Below are 12,286 nucleotides of genomic sequence, written 5' to 3'. Positions count from 1 at the left end.
ACATTACTGTGGACCGGGCTCTTACTATGCTTTGAGCCTGAGATCAGGGTGATCACATTTAATCCCTATCACCACCGGTGAGCAAGGTGGCATTCCCGTTCCCATTTTACAGACGGGAGACAGAGCTCAGAGAAGCTCAGCACCTTTTGCCCAAGGTCACCCAGCCAGGAAAGGCAGGGACTAAATTAGTGCCATCCAGGCGTGGCAGGTGGCAGGGTCTGCTTTCTGGGAGGGGAACTGGCCTGGTCCTGCCGTCGAGAAGCCACTAGCTTGGAGCACAGAACTGATGAGTGCCTGGGCCTTCCCCATTCCTGGGTACACATCCCCTCCCCCACTGCAATCTGGGCCTAACACTGGAGTCCCTGGGACCCTCAGGGATTCCCAGAGACCCAGGAGCCCCTGGGAACCCTCAGCCAAGGTTTGGATGCCCATGAAAGGGTATGTTTTTCTGGGTAACAGCCCTGGGTTTGCCAAGTGAGGAATACCACCCTATTAGCTAGGTATATACCTAGTTCCAGCTATTCAAGAGGCCAAGGCAGGAGATCACTTCAGCCCAGGAGCTCGAGACCAGCCTGGACAACTAGCAATATCCCATCTCTAACAAACAACAAACATCCTACGGGGTGTATTTGGGTTGGAAGGTCTTTGATATTGCCTTACTTTTACTACTCTGTCTGGTCATGAGAGCTCCCTTCCCTGAAGCCTGGGGTGCAGGGGATGAGCAGAGACCCACTTCCACACCCTCCCTGGAGACACACACTTCTGGGGGAACCTCGTGTGCCTGGGGGGACCCATGAGAGCTCTTGAGGAGAGGATGAGGGTAGCAGGGAGCAGGGCTGATGGCTCCTTAGATTCCCCACCCAACAGGACATGGGAAGAGACAGAATCCCAGTCAGGCCCCCAGGGCCCTCCAGCGAGCATTTTTACAAATGACAGGTTGGTTGAGGCAGCCACTGAGAAGGGGCCCTAGGTACCCCTGCCAGGGAGCAAGTTACTGCCCACTCCTTGGCCACCTGCTTTGTAAAGATTCCTCATGGTGCCTCCCCCCCACCCCCCCACTACGAGGGTTGGTGTCCAGAACAGAGTAAGATCTCGCATGGCAAATGCTTTGCAGTCTGTAAGAGCTTCATGCCATTGATTTCTGTTCTTCAGAACTGGACCAAGAGAAGGTGCTCCCTGCCCCTCAATCCCCAAGGCAGACCGCCCCTGCTCCCCAGATGCACACCCAGGGGCTTCCGGGTACCACAACCAGATCAGCACACAGCAGAAACTTCTGGGACATGTGGGCCTGTTGTGGGTCCCCAGCGGGCGCAGCCAGAGTCCGGGTGTCCCTGCTGAGGTTGAGGAAGGTCTCCGAGGATCCCCCTTCCCGCCACCACCCCCACCCCTCCCTTCCCCTCCCCTCCCCCAATAATCACAGGGCCCTAGCTCTGCAGGGCAGACAGACACTGCCTGCCCTCCCGTCCCATGGGCCGCCCAGGAGCCAGTGCAGCAAGGCGCTGGCTACCCGCCCGATCCCCCCATCACCACCCGCCAGGAGCCTGCCAGCAGCCAGCAGGGTGCAATTAGCCTGCTCTCCTGGAGGCTGCCTCCCTCGGGGGCCCTCCATTCTGATGCATCTCCATCAGCCTCACCGCTCAGACCCCAGCCTCGGGAACTCCCATCTGCTGGCCAGCCCTCCAGAACAGCAGGGGCAGTGCCCCGAGCTGGGTCCGGGACTTCTGTCCGGGGAGAGATGGAAGACCCGGTTTCCTGACCCCTCCCTGAGTGCCCCAACCCCTGGATCCAGGGGCCAGTGGTGGGTCACCTCCCTCCCATTCCCAAGTCATTGCGGGTCACTGTCCATCCCTGAGAGCTCCCCGACCTCCAACCCTATCTATGCAGTTTGGAGACTCACAGCTCTGCCCTCCCCCAAAGTGAACCCTGCACCCTCCCCCTCCCAGGATGGGGGTGCGTGGATCCTCACTCACTCGGGCAATGTACATGCATTCATTCCCCCCACCTTTCCTGTGTCTCCTAGGCTCCGGACCGCACGGAGACCCTCCCTCTTGGCCCCTGCCCCAAACCGCGTCCCCCTCCGAGACGTGCCTCCCTCCTCGGGCTCCCTGAGCTGCAGATCCTGGATCCTCCCGCACCCTCACCCATCCCACCCTGTACCTGCGGGGCTCGGCCCGAGCGGGCGGACAAGGCTGGAGGGGAGAGGGTCCCGCGCGGCCGCGGACCCCCAGTCGGGAGCCGGAGCCGGGGTCGCGGACGGGGCGGGCAGCAGCGAGCGGGCGCGGGGCCCGGGGGCGGCGGGGCCGGGGGCGGCGGCGGCAGGCGCATCCCCCGCCGCCCAGTCCACGGGCCCGGCGGGGGGCGAGCGCCCGCCCGGGCCGGGAGAGAAGGGGGCGGTGCGACGCGGGAGCCGCCGCCGATTGGCCGAGCCCGGGTTGGCACCGCCTTCGACGACCCCGCAAGCCCCGCCCATATTTAAAGATCCCACATTCCCCGGCGCCCCCTGCAACCCCCCGGCATGCGGCTGGTCTTCGAACTCCCCCTCTTGCCCCATAAGACGGGAAGGACCTTGGTGAAGCTCCAACCCCCGCCCCCAACAGCCCTCCGGACCTCCTAACTATACCCCCTCCCCAAAATTAGGTCCCAAACTTCAGCCGCTCTGTCAACCTTTGCACGCCTGGGGACTGTCCTCCCCGTAAGCATCAGCTGAAAGACAACTTTGCAAAGCAACTCAATGCCTGCCCCTCAAACGACCTCCTCCGGGGTCTAGCTCTGCATAGGGGAGCCTTGAGGGGGACTAGGGTGATTGCAAGTTGGGGGGTGTCTGGGAGCCAGGTGTAGGGCCTTCCAGGGGTGGGACTGGGTACATGCTGGGGCACTCGGTTAGAGGCCACCTTCTGTGGGAGGAGAGACGCCCGTCTGGATCAGGCCACCCAGTCCTAACCTCCAACACCCATTTCCAGGATGACAGGAAGCCAGAGCCCCAGGGAGTTTGGGATCACCAGGGCTGGGGGTCCCCAAAACTGTGCTCCTTCCCCCAGCACCCAGGCTGAACTTGGCCGACTCATTCATTCAAAGTTAATGGCGGCTCCAGGGAGCTTTGGGGACCAGTGGGTAGGGAGCTCTTCCTTCCTCCTCTTCCAGTCTTACTGCCTCTGCCTCTGCCTCACCCTGTTCCCACCAGGCTTGGGGTGACTGTGTTCAGCTCTGTCCCCCACCAGCCTGGGGGCTTCCTGGAGCCAGCAGATCCCACCTCCTATCTCTCTCCCACACCCTCCATCTGTTTTCTTCCCAGCCCAGAGCTTTGGCCCAGGTCAGGAACATCTGAGTGTTTATTCCTGAGGGAGGCTGTCTTCTGTGTTTCCTCTGCGGAGCTCAGAAAACAGTTGGACTGAAGGAAGGAAGGAAGGAAGGAAGGAAGGAAGGAAGGAAGGAAGGAAGGAAGGAAGGAAGGCAGGCAGGCAGGCAGGCAGGCAGGCAGGCATGAATGAGGGATAGCTGCATGGGCTGAGGGTGGCGGTGAGTCACAGAGGGGCCAGGTGATGGCTCAGAGTCTCAGACAGGACCTTTGTTCCCTCCCCTGGAGAGCCCGTTCCTCATCCCAGCCTGTCCAGACTGCTCTGCACAAGGCCCGGCCGTGGTGACAATGCCCAGGGCTGAGACAATCAGGAAATAGAGGCCTGGGTGGTCCCGGTCAGATCCACAGAGGTACCAGGCGGGGTTGGATAGGATCTGTAACAGGGGGCTGTTACGAGTGATCTGACCAGACACAAGCAGCTTTGAGAGTCACTGCAGAGCAAGAAAGGGGTTGTGGGGACTCCGAAGGGGCGGGTTTTCAGCCACACCTGAGAACCAGCCACCCCTCTTGCATCTCTCCACTGACTCACCAGCACTCCAACCTCCAGCCAAGCCTTCTCAGTCTCCCCTCGCCACAGTTCCCACCTCCAGGCCTTTGCACTTGCTGTTCCCCTGCCTGGACCACCAGGAGCCCCCCTTTCTAAAGCACAACATTGGAGCCACCCACAGCTCCCTCAGGATTGGGCACATCCCTGAACCACATTCAATGCTCCTGGCCCCTGACAGCTCAACCCAGCCCTTGCAGGAGTCCCTGAGCCACGAGAAGCATACCATGCCCACGGGCTGACCCTGGTCTGCTTGCACAGGCTGTAGCATCAGATGCTTTTTTCTTTCTTTTTTTTTTTTTGAGACAGAGTCTCACTTTGTCGCCCAGGCTGGAGTGCAGCAGCACGATCTCCACTCATTGCAACCTCTAAACCTCCACCTCCTGGGTTCAAGCAATTCTCATGCCTCCGCCTTCCAATGTAGCTGGGATTACAGGCGTGCACCACCAAACCTGGCTAATTTTTGTAATTTTAGTAGAGACGGGGTTTCACCATGTTGGCCAGGCTGGTCTCGAACTCCTAACCTCAAGCGATCCACTCCCAAAGTGCTGGGATTACAGGCGTGAGCCACCGCGCCTGGCCAGATGCTTTTTGAATTCAAGTCTAACATGTAACTGTCCCGAAATTCACAAAAACATCAGCCACAGCACTCCACTGCCCCCAATCCCCTGCACCCCTGCCCACGCCCTGAAGCCCCTGTACCCACCTTCTCCCTCTGAAAAGACCTGTGCTTGTTCTCCTTTGCATTCACCTGCCCTGAGGGATCGGGGACTGCCCCCATCAAGAAGTGGAACTTGGACAATCAATCTGGTGATCAACGGCCTTGCCTCCCACCTGAGTCAGTCCTGCCACCTGCTGGAATCCCACCCCTCAGAGACAAGGTTGGCAGCATGAATGGGAGTCAAGGTTGGATGGAGGTGGGACTTCTGGTGGGGGCTGTCTGGGTCTCCGTTCCAGGCAGAGCCTCTCATCAGCCCATGGTTGGCTGGAAGAGACCCAAGAAGCCTGCAAGTGAGCCTGTCAGGCAGCCAAGACGCCCCCGGGACTCATGCCCTGGGAAACTGCCTTGCGCACAGGCTGTGTCCTCTGCAAACGTCAAGCATGGTGGAGGCGGCTGGAGAGCAAGCCCCTCCGCAGGGGGCCTGAGGGCTGGGCCTCTGGTCTCTGGGCAGTGTCTAAGGGTCTGGGTGCAAGAGAACTGGAAGACGTTCACAGGAGCTCAGGGACACAAAGGTAGTGGCCGGAGCAGGGAGTGGCCTGGCCACACGAGCATCTCCCTACACCTCCATCCCCAGCACCCCTCCACAGGTGCATCCACTGAAATCTTGGACCCAGCCCGGACTGCCCGGATGGAAGCTGGAACCTGGGCCCCAGTGAGTGTCAGGATGGCAAGGGTAAGATATTCACTCATTCAGCCATTTATTTATTCACTGATTCATTCATTCATTCACTAATTCATTCATTCATTCACATATCCACATAGCCCCTTCTCTGAGCCTGGTGCTGGGGAATGCAGCACCCTAGAGAGATACAAACCGTGCCCCTCTTGAAGCTGGCTTTCTAGAAGAGGGGGACAACCCTCTCCAAAGAGGGAAATAAAACTGAGAATTTTAGATACACAAAAGTACTGTCCAGCCTAGGCAACATAGCGAGACCCTGTCTCTACAAAAATTTTTTAAAAATTAGCTAGGCGTGGAGCCATGTGCCCGTAGTCCCAGCTCCTTCGGGCGGCTGAGGCAGGAAGATCGCTCGAGCCCAGGAGGTGGAGACCACAGTGAGCTGTGATCATGCCTCTGCCCTCCAGCCTGGGCAACAAAGCAAGACCCTATCTCACAAAAAAAAAAAAAAAAGTATCAGAAGTATCAGGAAGAGATCCAAAAAAGTTGAAAGAACTAAGAACGAGGACAGGGAGACTTGAGTTAGGGTGGTCAGGGAAGTCTCTTAGAAGAGAAATCATTTGAGCTGGGTGTGGTGGCTCATGCCTATAATCTCAGCACTTCGGGAGGACAAAGAGGGCAGATCACCTGAGGTCAGGAGTTCGAGACCAACCTGGCCAACATGGCAAAACCCTGTCTCTACCAAAAATACAAAAAATTAGCCGGGTGTGTTGGTGGGCAACTGTAATCCCAGCTACTTGGGAGGCTGAGAGGCAGGAGAATCGCTTGAACTTGGGAGGTGGAGGTTGCAGTGAGCCAAGACTGTGCCACTGCACTACAGCCTGGGCGACAGAGTGAGACTCTATCTCAAAAAAAAAAAAAAAGGTGGCCGGGTGCAGTGGCTCACTCCTGCAATCTCAGCACTTTGGGAGGCTGAGGCAGGCGGATCACGAGGTCAGGAGATCGAGACCATCCTGGCTAACACGGTGAAACCCCGTCTTTACTAAAAATACAAAAAACTTAGCCGGGTGTGGCGTGGTGGCGGGCGCCTGTAATCCCAACTACTCTGGCGGCTGAGGCAGGAGAATGGCGTGAACCCAGGAGGCGGAGCTTGCAGTGAACCGAGATCGCGCCACTGCACTCCAGCCTGGGCTTGACAGAGCAAGACTCCGTCTCAAAAAAAAAAAAAAAAAAAAAAAGCCTGGGCGTGGTGGCTCACGCCTGTAATCCCAGCACTTTGGGAGGCCAAGACAGGCGGATCATGAGGTCAGGAGTTCAAGACCAGCCTGGCCAACATAGTGAAACCCCATCTCTACTAAAAATACAAAAAATTAGCCAGGCGTGGTGGCGCTGTAATCCCACCTACTCGGGAGGCTGAGGCAGAAGATCGCTTGAACCCAGAAGGCAGAGGTTGCAGTGAGCCGAGGTCACGCCACTGCACTCCAGCCTGGGTGACAGTGCAAGACACCATCTCAAAAAGAAAAAAAAAAAACAAGATCTGGAGTGTTGGCTCCCTCGGGCTCCTGGGAACTGCAGGGGCAGGAAGCGGAGTGGGAATACCAGGGTGGGAGCTGGGGCAGGTGTCGCAGAGGGCTTGTTCCTGAGCTCTCGGGATTCAGGGACCTGGGATTCCTTCCATCAGCATCTACTGAGCACCTCCTGTGTGCAGGACTTGTACTCTAAGGCAGGGACACTGTGGTGGTAAAGACACACAAAGTCCCCCAGACTCCCAGTTTCAGGCCAGAAGACAAGACCGGCTTTGATATGATAAATACACAAGGGCCCTGCAGACAGAACACGGAGGAAAAAGGGGCACAGGATGGGAGGGGAGGGACTGGGCCTGATCCTTCCCGGTTCTCCCCATGGGCTGCCTGCTGTGTTCTCAGCCCTAGAGCAGGAAGTGGGAGCCTGGGCGTGACAGGCAGGCAGGGTAGCAGCTCCATCATAAGCAAGGAGTCCCCAAAAAGCATCCAAGGCTGTCAGGGAGCCCCTGTCATGCCCACCAGCGGCCCCACCCTGGGACTGTCCCATCCTGTCCATTCAGACATGAGCGCCCCTCCCTCCTCACGCTCAGGCTAGAAGGCTCTAGCCTCCTTCCTTTACCACCCCCACATCCAGTGGGTCCAACCGATCCCATAAATTTGCTCCAGGGAACCCCTCTCTCCCCACTGTGGCAGCTCCATAGAGGAGCAAAGGTTTGACTCCAAACCCCAATGTCTTGCTACGCAGGTGGACTGGTTTGAATCGTGACCCCCCAAAATTTGAGTCCTCCCCAGAACCTTGGACCTTATTTGAAAATAGGGGTTTTTTTGGCCAGGCTCAGTGGCTCATGCCTGTAATCCCAGCACTTTGGGAGGCCGAGGCGGGTGGATCACCTGAGGTCAGGAATTAGAGACCAGGACCAGCCTAGCCAATATGGTGAAACCCTGTTTCTACTAAAAATATAAAACTTAGCTGAGCATGGTAGCACGCGCCTGTAATCTCAGCTACTAGGGGGTGCTGAGGCAGGAGAACTGCTTGAACCTGGGAGGCAGAGGTTGCAGTGAGCCAAGATTGTGCCATTGCACTCCAGCCTGGGCAACAAAGCAAGACTCCGTCTCAAAAAAAAAAAAAGAAAGAAAGAAAGAAAGAAAGAAAATAGGGTTTTGTTTCTTTTGTTTTTGAAGCTGGGTCTCACTCTCTCACCCACACTGGAGTGCAGTGGCACGATCACGCCCATTGCAGCCTCTATCTCTTGGGCTTAAGAGATTCTCCTGTTTCTTTTTCTTTTCTTTTTGTTTTTAAATGTAGAGACGAGGTCTCATTATGTTGCCCAGGCTGCTCTCATATTCCTGGGCTCAAGTGAGGCTCCCATCTCAGCCTCCCAAAGTGCTGGGATTATAAGCGTGAACCACTGTGCCTGGCCTGGAAACAAGGTTTTTGCAGATGTAGTTAAATGAAGAGGGGGTCATAGTGGGTTAGTTCTGGCTCTGATCTAATAACTGGTTTCTGGGTTTTTTTTTTTTTTTTTTTTTGAGTCAGAGTCTCACTCTGTTGCCCAGGCTGGAGTGCAGTGGTGTGATCTCGGCTCACTGCAACCTCCGCCTCCTGGGTTCACGCAATTCTCCTGCCTCAGCCTCCTGAGTAGCTGAGATTACAGACGCGCACCACCACAGCCGGCTAATTTTTATATTTTTAATAGAGACGGGGTTTCACCATGTTGACCAGGTTGGTCTCCAACTCCTGGCCTCAAGTGATCTACCTGCTTTGGCCCACCCAATGAAGAGGGGCTCATGGTAGATTAGGGTGGGCTCTGATCTAACAACTGTTTTTTTTAATACGAAGCCCATATGAGGATACAGATGGACAAACAGGGAGAAGGTCATGTGAAAACAGAGACAGAGGTGGGGGTGACACAGCCAAAGAACACCAGGAGCCACCAGAGGCTGGAAGAGGCAGGAAAGGATCCTCCTGAGAGCCTCCGGAGGGAAGGCAACACCACCAACACCTTGATTTTGGACTTCTGGCCTCTAGAACTGTGACAGCACAACTTTTTGTGTGTTTTTCTTTTCTTTTCTTTTCTTTTTTTTGAGACAGAGTTTCGCTCCTGTCACCCAGGCTGGAGTGCAGTGGTGAGATCCTGGCTCTCTGCAACCTCCGCCTCCCACGTTCAAGCGATTCTCCTGCCTCAGCCTCCCGAGTAGCTGGGATTATAGGCACCCACCACCACGCCTGGCTAATTTTTGTATCTTTAGTAAAGACAGGGTTTCACCATGTTGGCCAGGCTGGTCTCGAACTCCTGACCTCAGGTGATCCACCCGCCTCGGCCTCCCAAAGTGCTAGGATTACAGCCGTGAGCCACCCCGCCTGGCCAACTTTGTGTGGTTGTAAGTCATCCAGCTCATGGTCATTTGTGGTGGCAGCCACAGGAATGAAGGCAGTGATTGTGGACAAGGGACTTGTAACTCTAGGCCTCCATTTCCTCTGCAAGGCAATGATATGGCCTCATTGGAGGCCAGTGGCATGAGGTTCAGCACTAGTGCTCCATGAATGCTTACAGCTGCAACTGGCCTGACCATTACCTGAACTATTTCTTTTTCTTTTTTTTTTTTGTTTTTTTGTTTGGTTTAGTTTTTTTGAGATGGAGTCTCACTCTGTTGCCCAGGCTGGAGTGCAGTGGCACAGTCTCCGCTTACTGCAACCTCCACCTCCTGGGTTCAAGTGATTCTCCTGTCTCAGCCTCCTGAGTAGCTGGGATTACAGGTGCCCACCATCACGCTCGGCTAATTTTTGTATTTTTAGTAGAGACGGGGTTTCACCATGATGGCCAGGCTGGTCTCAAACTCCCGACCTCGTGATCCGCCCACCTCAGCCTCCCAAAGTGCTAGGATTATAGGCCTGAGCCACCGCGTCCAGCTGACCTGGACTATTTCAAAAGCACCTCTTGAACTCTTTCACTCGGGTGTAACCTCCCCCAGAGCCCCCCACCTAGAGGGAATCATTTTTTTATTTTTAAGAGACAGGGTCCCATGGCTCATGCCTGTAATCCTAGCACTTTGGGAAGCCAAGTTGGGCTGATTGCCTGAGCTCAGGGATTCAAGACCAGCCTGGGCAACATGATGAAACCCTGTCTCTACTAAAATAAAGAATAAATTGAAAAAATATAACCGGGTGCGGTGGCTCACACCTGTAATCCCAGCACTTTGGGAGGCCGAGGTGGGTGGATCATGAGGTCAGGAGTTCAAGACCAGCCTGGCCAACATGGTGAAACCCCGTCTCTATTAAAAATACAAAAATTAGCCAGGCGTGGTGGCAGGTGCCTGTAATCCCAGCTACTCAGGAGCCTGAGGCAGAGAATCACTTGAACCTAGGAGGCGGAGGTTGCAGTGAGCTGAGAACGCACCATTGCATTCCAGCCTGGGCGACAGAGCGAGACTCTGTCTCAAAAAAAACAAAACAAAACAAAACAAAAAACAAGACCAGCGTGGCCAACATGGTGAAACCCCGTCTCTACTAAAAATACAAAAAATTAGCTGGGTGTGGTGGCGCACGCGTATAATCCCAGCTACTCGGGAGGCTGACGCAGGAGGCAGGAGAATCGCTTGAACCTGGGAAGCAGAGGTTGTAGTGAGCCGAGATCACGTCATTGCACTCCAGCCTGGGCGACAGAGCAAGACTCCGTCTCCAAAATAAATAAATAAATAAATAAATAAATAAATAGGGCTGGACGTGGTGGCTCACGCCTGTAATCCCAGCACTTTAGGAGGCCGAGGCGGGTGGATCACGAAGTCAGGATATCGAGACCATCCTGGTTAACACGGTGAAACCCCGTCTCTACTAAAAATACAAAAAAAAATTAGCCAGGCGTGGTGGCGGGCGCCTGTAGTCCCAGCTACTCGGGAGGCTGAGGCAGGAGAGTGGCGTGAACCTGGGAGGCAGAACTTGCAGTGAGCCGAGATCGCGCCACTGCACTCCAGCCTGGGCGACGAGGCAAGACTCCGTCTCATAAATAAATAAATAAATAAATAAATACAATTGAAAATATAAATAAATAAAATAAAAATTAGCCGGGCACGGTGGCAGGCACCTATCTATAGTCCCAAGCTACCCAGGAGGTTAAGGCACGAGAATCACTTGAGCCTGGGAGGTGGAGGTTGCAGTGAGCTGAGATTGCATCACTGCACTGTAGCCTGGATGACAGAGTGAGACCCTGTATCAAAAAAAAAAAAAAAAAAAAAAAGAGACAGGGTCTCCTGTTGTCTCGCAGCAGTTTGGAGTGCAGTGGTGCAGTCAGAGCTCACTGCAGCCTCGATCTCCTGTCCTCAAGTGATCCTCCCACCTCAGCCTCCTGAGTAGCTGGGGCTACGTGTGTGCTACCATGCCTAGCTATTTTTTTTCCTTTTGTAGAGATGGGGTCTTGCCATGTTGCTGAGGCTGTTCTTGAACTCCTGTCCTCAAGTGATCCTCATACCTTGGCCTCCCAAAGTGCTGGGATTACAGGGATCTTTCTTGGTTACAAATCTGATTATACTGCCCCAGATTCTGGGTGCTCAGTGATCCCCTGGCATTTGAGCAGTTAGATCCCACATGACCCCAGCCTTATCTGCTGGCAAGCTTCTACTTGACCTTCCAGGCTCAGCCCAAAGAGCACCTCCTCCAGGATGCCTTCCCAGGTTTCCCCAAGCACAATGAGTGCTCCCTTCTCTCACAGTAGCTACTTGGCATGAGATGGAAACCTGGCCACATTTCATCCTCCATCCCCAACCCAGTCCCAGAATGTGCCCACTTTTTTCCATCTGAGGCTCTACCCTGGTACCAACCCAGCTGAAACCACCAGACATCTCCTGGGCCTCCACTCTGGGCTCCTGCCACCTCCACTCCTGCCCTGCTCTCCACAGCAGCCACAGGGCTTCTGAAAATCCTAACTGAGACCATGCCTCTCCCCTGCTCACACACCTGCCATGGTTCCCCATTGCTCTGAAGTCCACACCCTCACTGCAGCCGCTGAGTTCCTTGTAGCTTGGCTCCTACCTGCCGATCTTGCCTTCATCTTCCTCCTCTCTCCCACTCACTCTGTTCCAGCCACAGCAGCCTCCTCACTGTTCCTCAAACACGCCAAGCTCATTCCCACCTCAGGACCTTTGCACATGTGGTTCCCTCTGCTGGGTATGCTGTTCCCCCAGCTGTCAGCAGGCCAGTTCCTCCTCTTCCTTCAAGTCTCAGCTCATGATCACTGCCCTAGAGAGGCCTCTCTGACTTTTACAAGAGGCTTCCCTGCTCCTCTGGTCACTAATACATCCTCATATTCTATTTTCTTCCTAATACAAAACAATTTTCTTCCTTCCCTCCCTCCCTTCCTCTTTCTTCTTTCTTTTCTTCCTTCCTTCTTTCCTTCCTTCTTTTTTTCTCTCTCCCTCCCTCCTACCCTCCCTCTCTCTCTTCTCCCTTTCCCTTTCCCCTTTCCCTTTCCCTTTCCCCTTCCCCACCATCCCCTCCCCTCCCCTCCCCTCTCCTCTCCTCCCCTCTCCTCCC

General features: G+C 55.1%; 1 protein-coding gene across 8 annotated transcripts in view, besides 3 other annotated features; it reads right to left on the bottom strand.

Moving 5' to 3' along the window:
* KCNN1 (potassium calcium-activated channel subfamily N member 1) overlaps positions 1-12,286 on the bottom strand; it is a 48,796-nt gene that overhangs the window by 30,611 nt on the left and 5,899 nt on the right. For 6 of the 8 annotated variants that reach the window (NR_170373.1, NR_170374.1, NM_001386975.1 and 3 more), the window contains exon 1: positions 2,158-2,368. The exons of the other annotated variants lie outside the window; for them this stretch is intronic. Coding sequence is in view for 1 of the 6 variants with exons in the window: in XM_011528004.2 (XP_011526306.1) it covers positions 2,158-2,325 (168 nt within the window). In the remaining 5 variants the exon portion in view is untranslated. Of the gene's footprint in view, positions 1-2,157; positions 2,369-12,286 lie in introns of those variants that run through there. 8 annotated transcript variants of the gene reach the window in all.
* Positions 2,664-3,381: an enhancer, noted in NCBI's record as "H3K4me1 hESC enhancer chr19:18076903-18077620 (GRCh37/hg19 assembly coordinates)". NCBI's record gives its function as "activates a minimal SCP1, AML or CMV promoter by ChIP-STARR-seq in primed H9 embryonic stem cells {active_cell/tissue: H9 hESC(primed)}" and the evidence as "EXISTENCE:reporter gene assay evidence [ECO:0000049][PMID:30033119]".
* Positions 6,549-7,121: an enhancer, noted in NCBI's record as "H3K4me1 hESC enhancer chr19:18073163-18073735 (GRCh37/hg19 assembly coordinates)". NCBI's record gives its function as "activates a minimal SCP1, AML or CMV promoter by ChIP-STARR-seq in naive H9 embryonic stem cells {active_cell/tissue: H9 hESC(naive)}" and the evidence as "EXISTENCE:reporter gene assay evidence [ECO:0000049][PMID:30033119]".
* Positions 9,088-9,288: a silencer, noted in NCBI's record as "peak3398 fragment used in MPRA reporter construct". NCBI's record gives its function as "represses an SCP1 promoter by STARR-seq MPRAs in K562 erythroleukemia cells {active_cell/tissue: K562}" and the evidence as "EXISTENCE:reporter gene assay evidence [ECO:0000049][PMID:32103011]".

This window comes from Homo sapiens, chromosome 19, assembly GCF_000001405.40.
Source record: "Homo sapiens chromosome 19, GRCh38.p14 Primary Assembly".
Taxonomy (NCBI): domain Eukaryota; kingdom Metazoa; phylum Chordata; class Mammalia; order Primates; family Hominidae; genus Homo; species Homo sapiens.
Note: the sequence above shows the minus strand (reverse complement) of the source record. Positions and strands in the feature narration are given on the sequence as shown.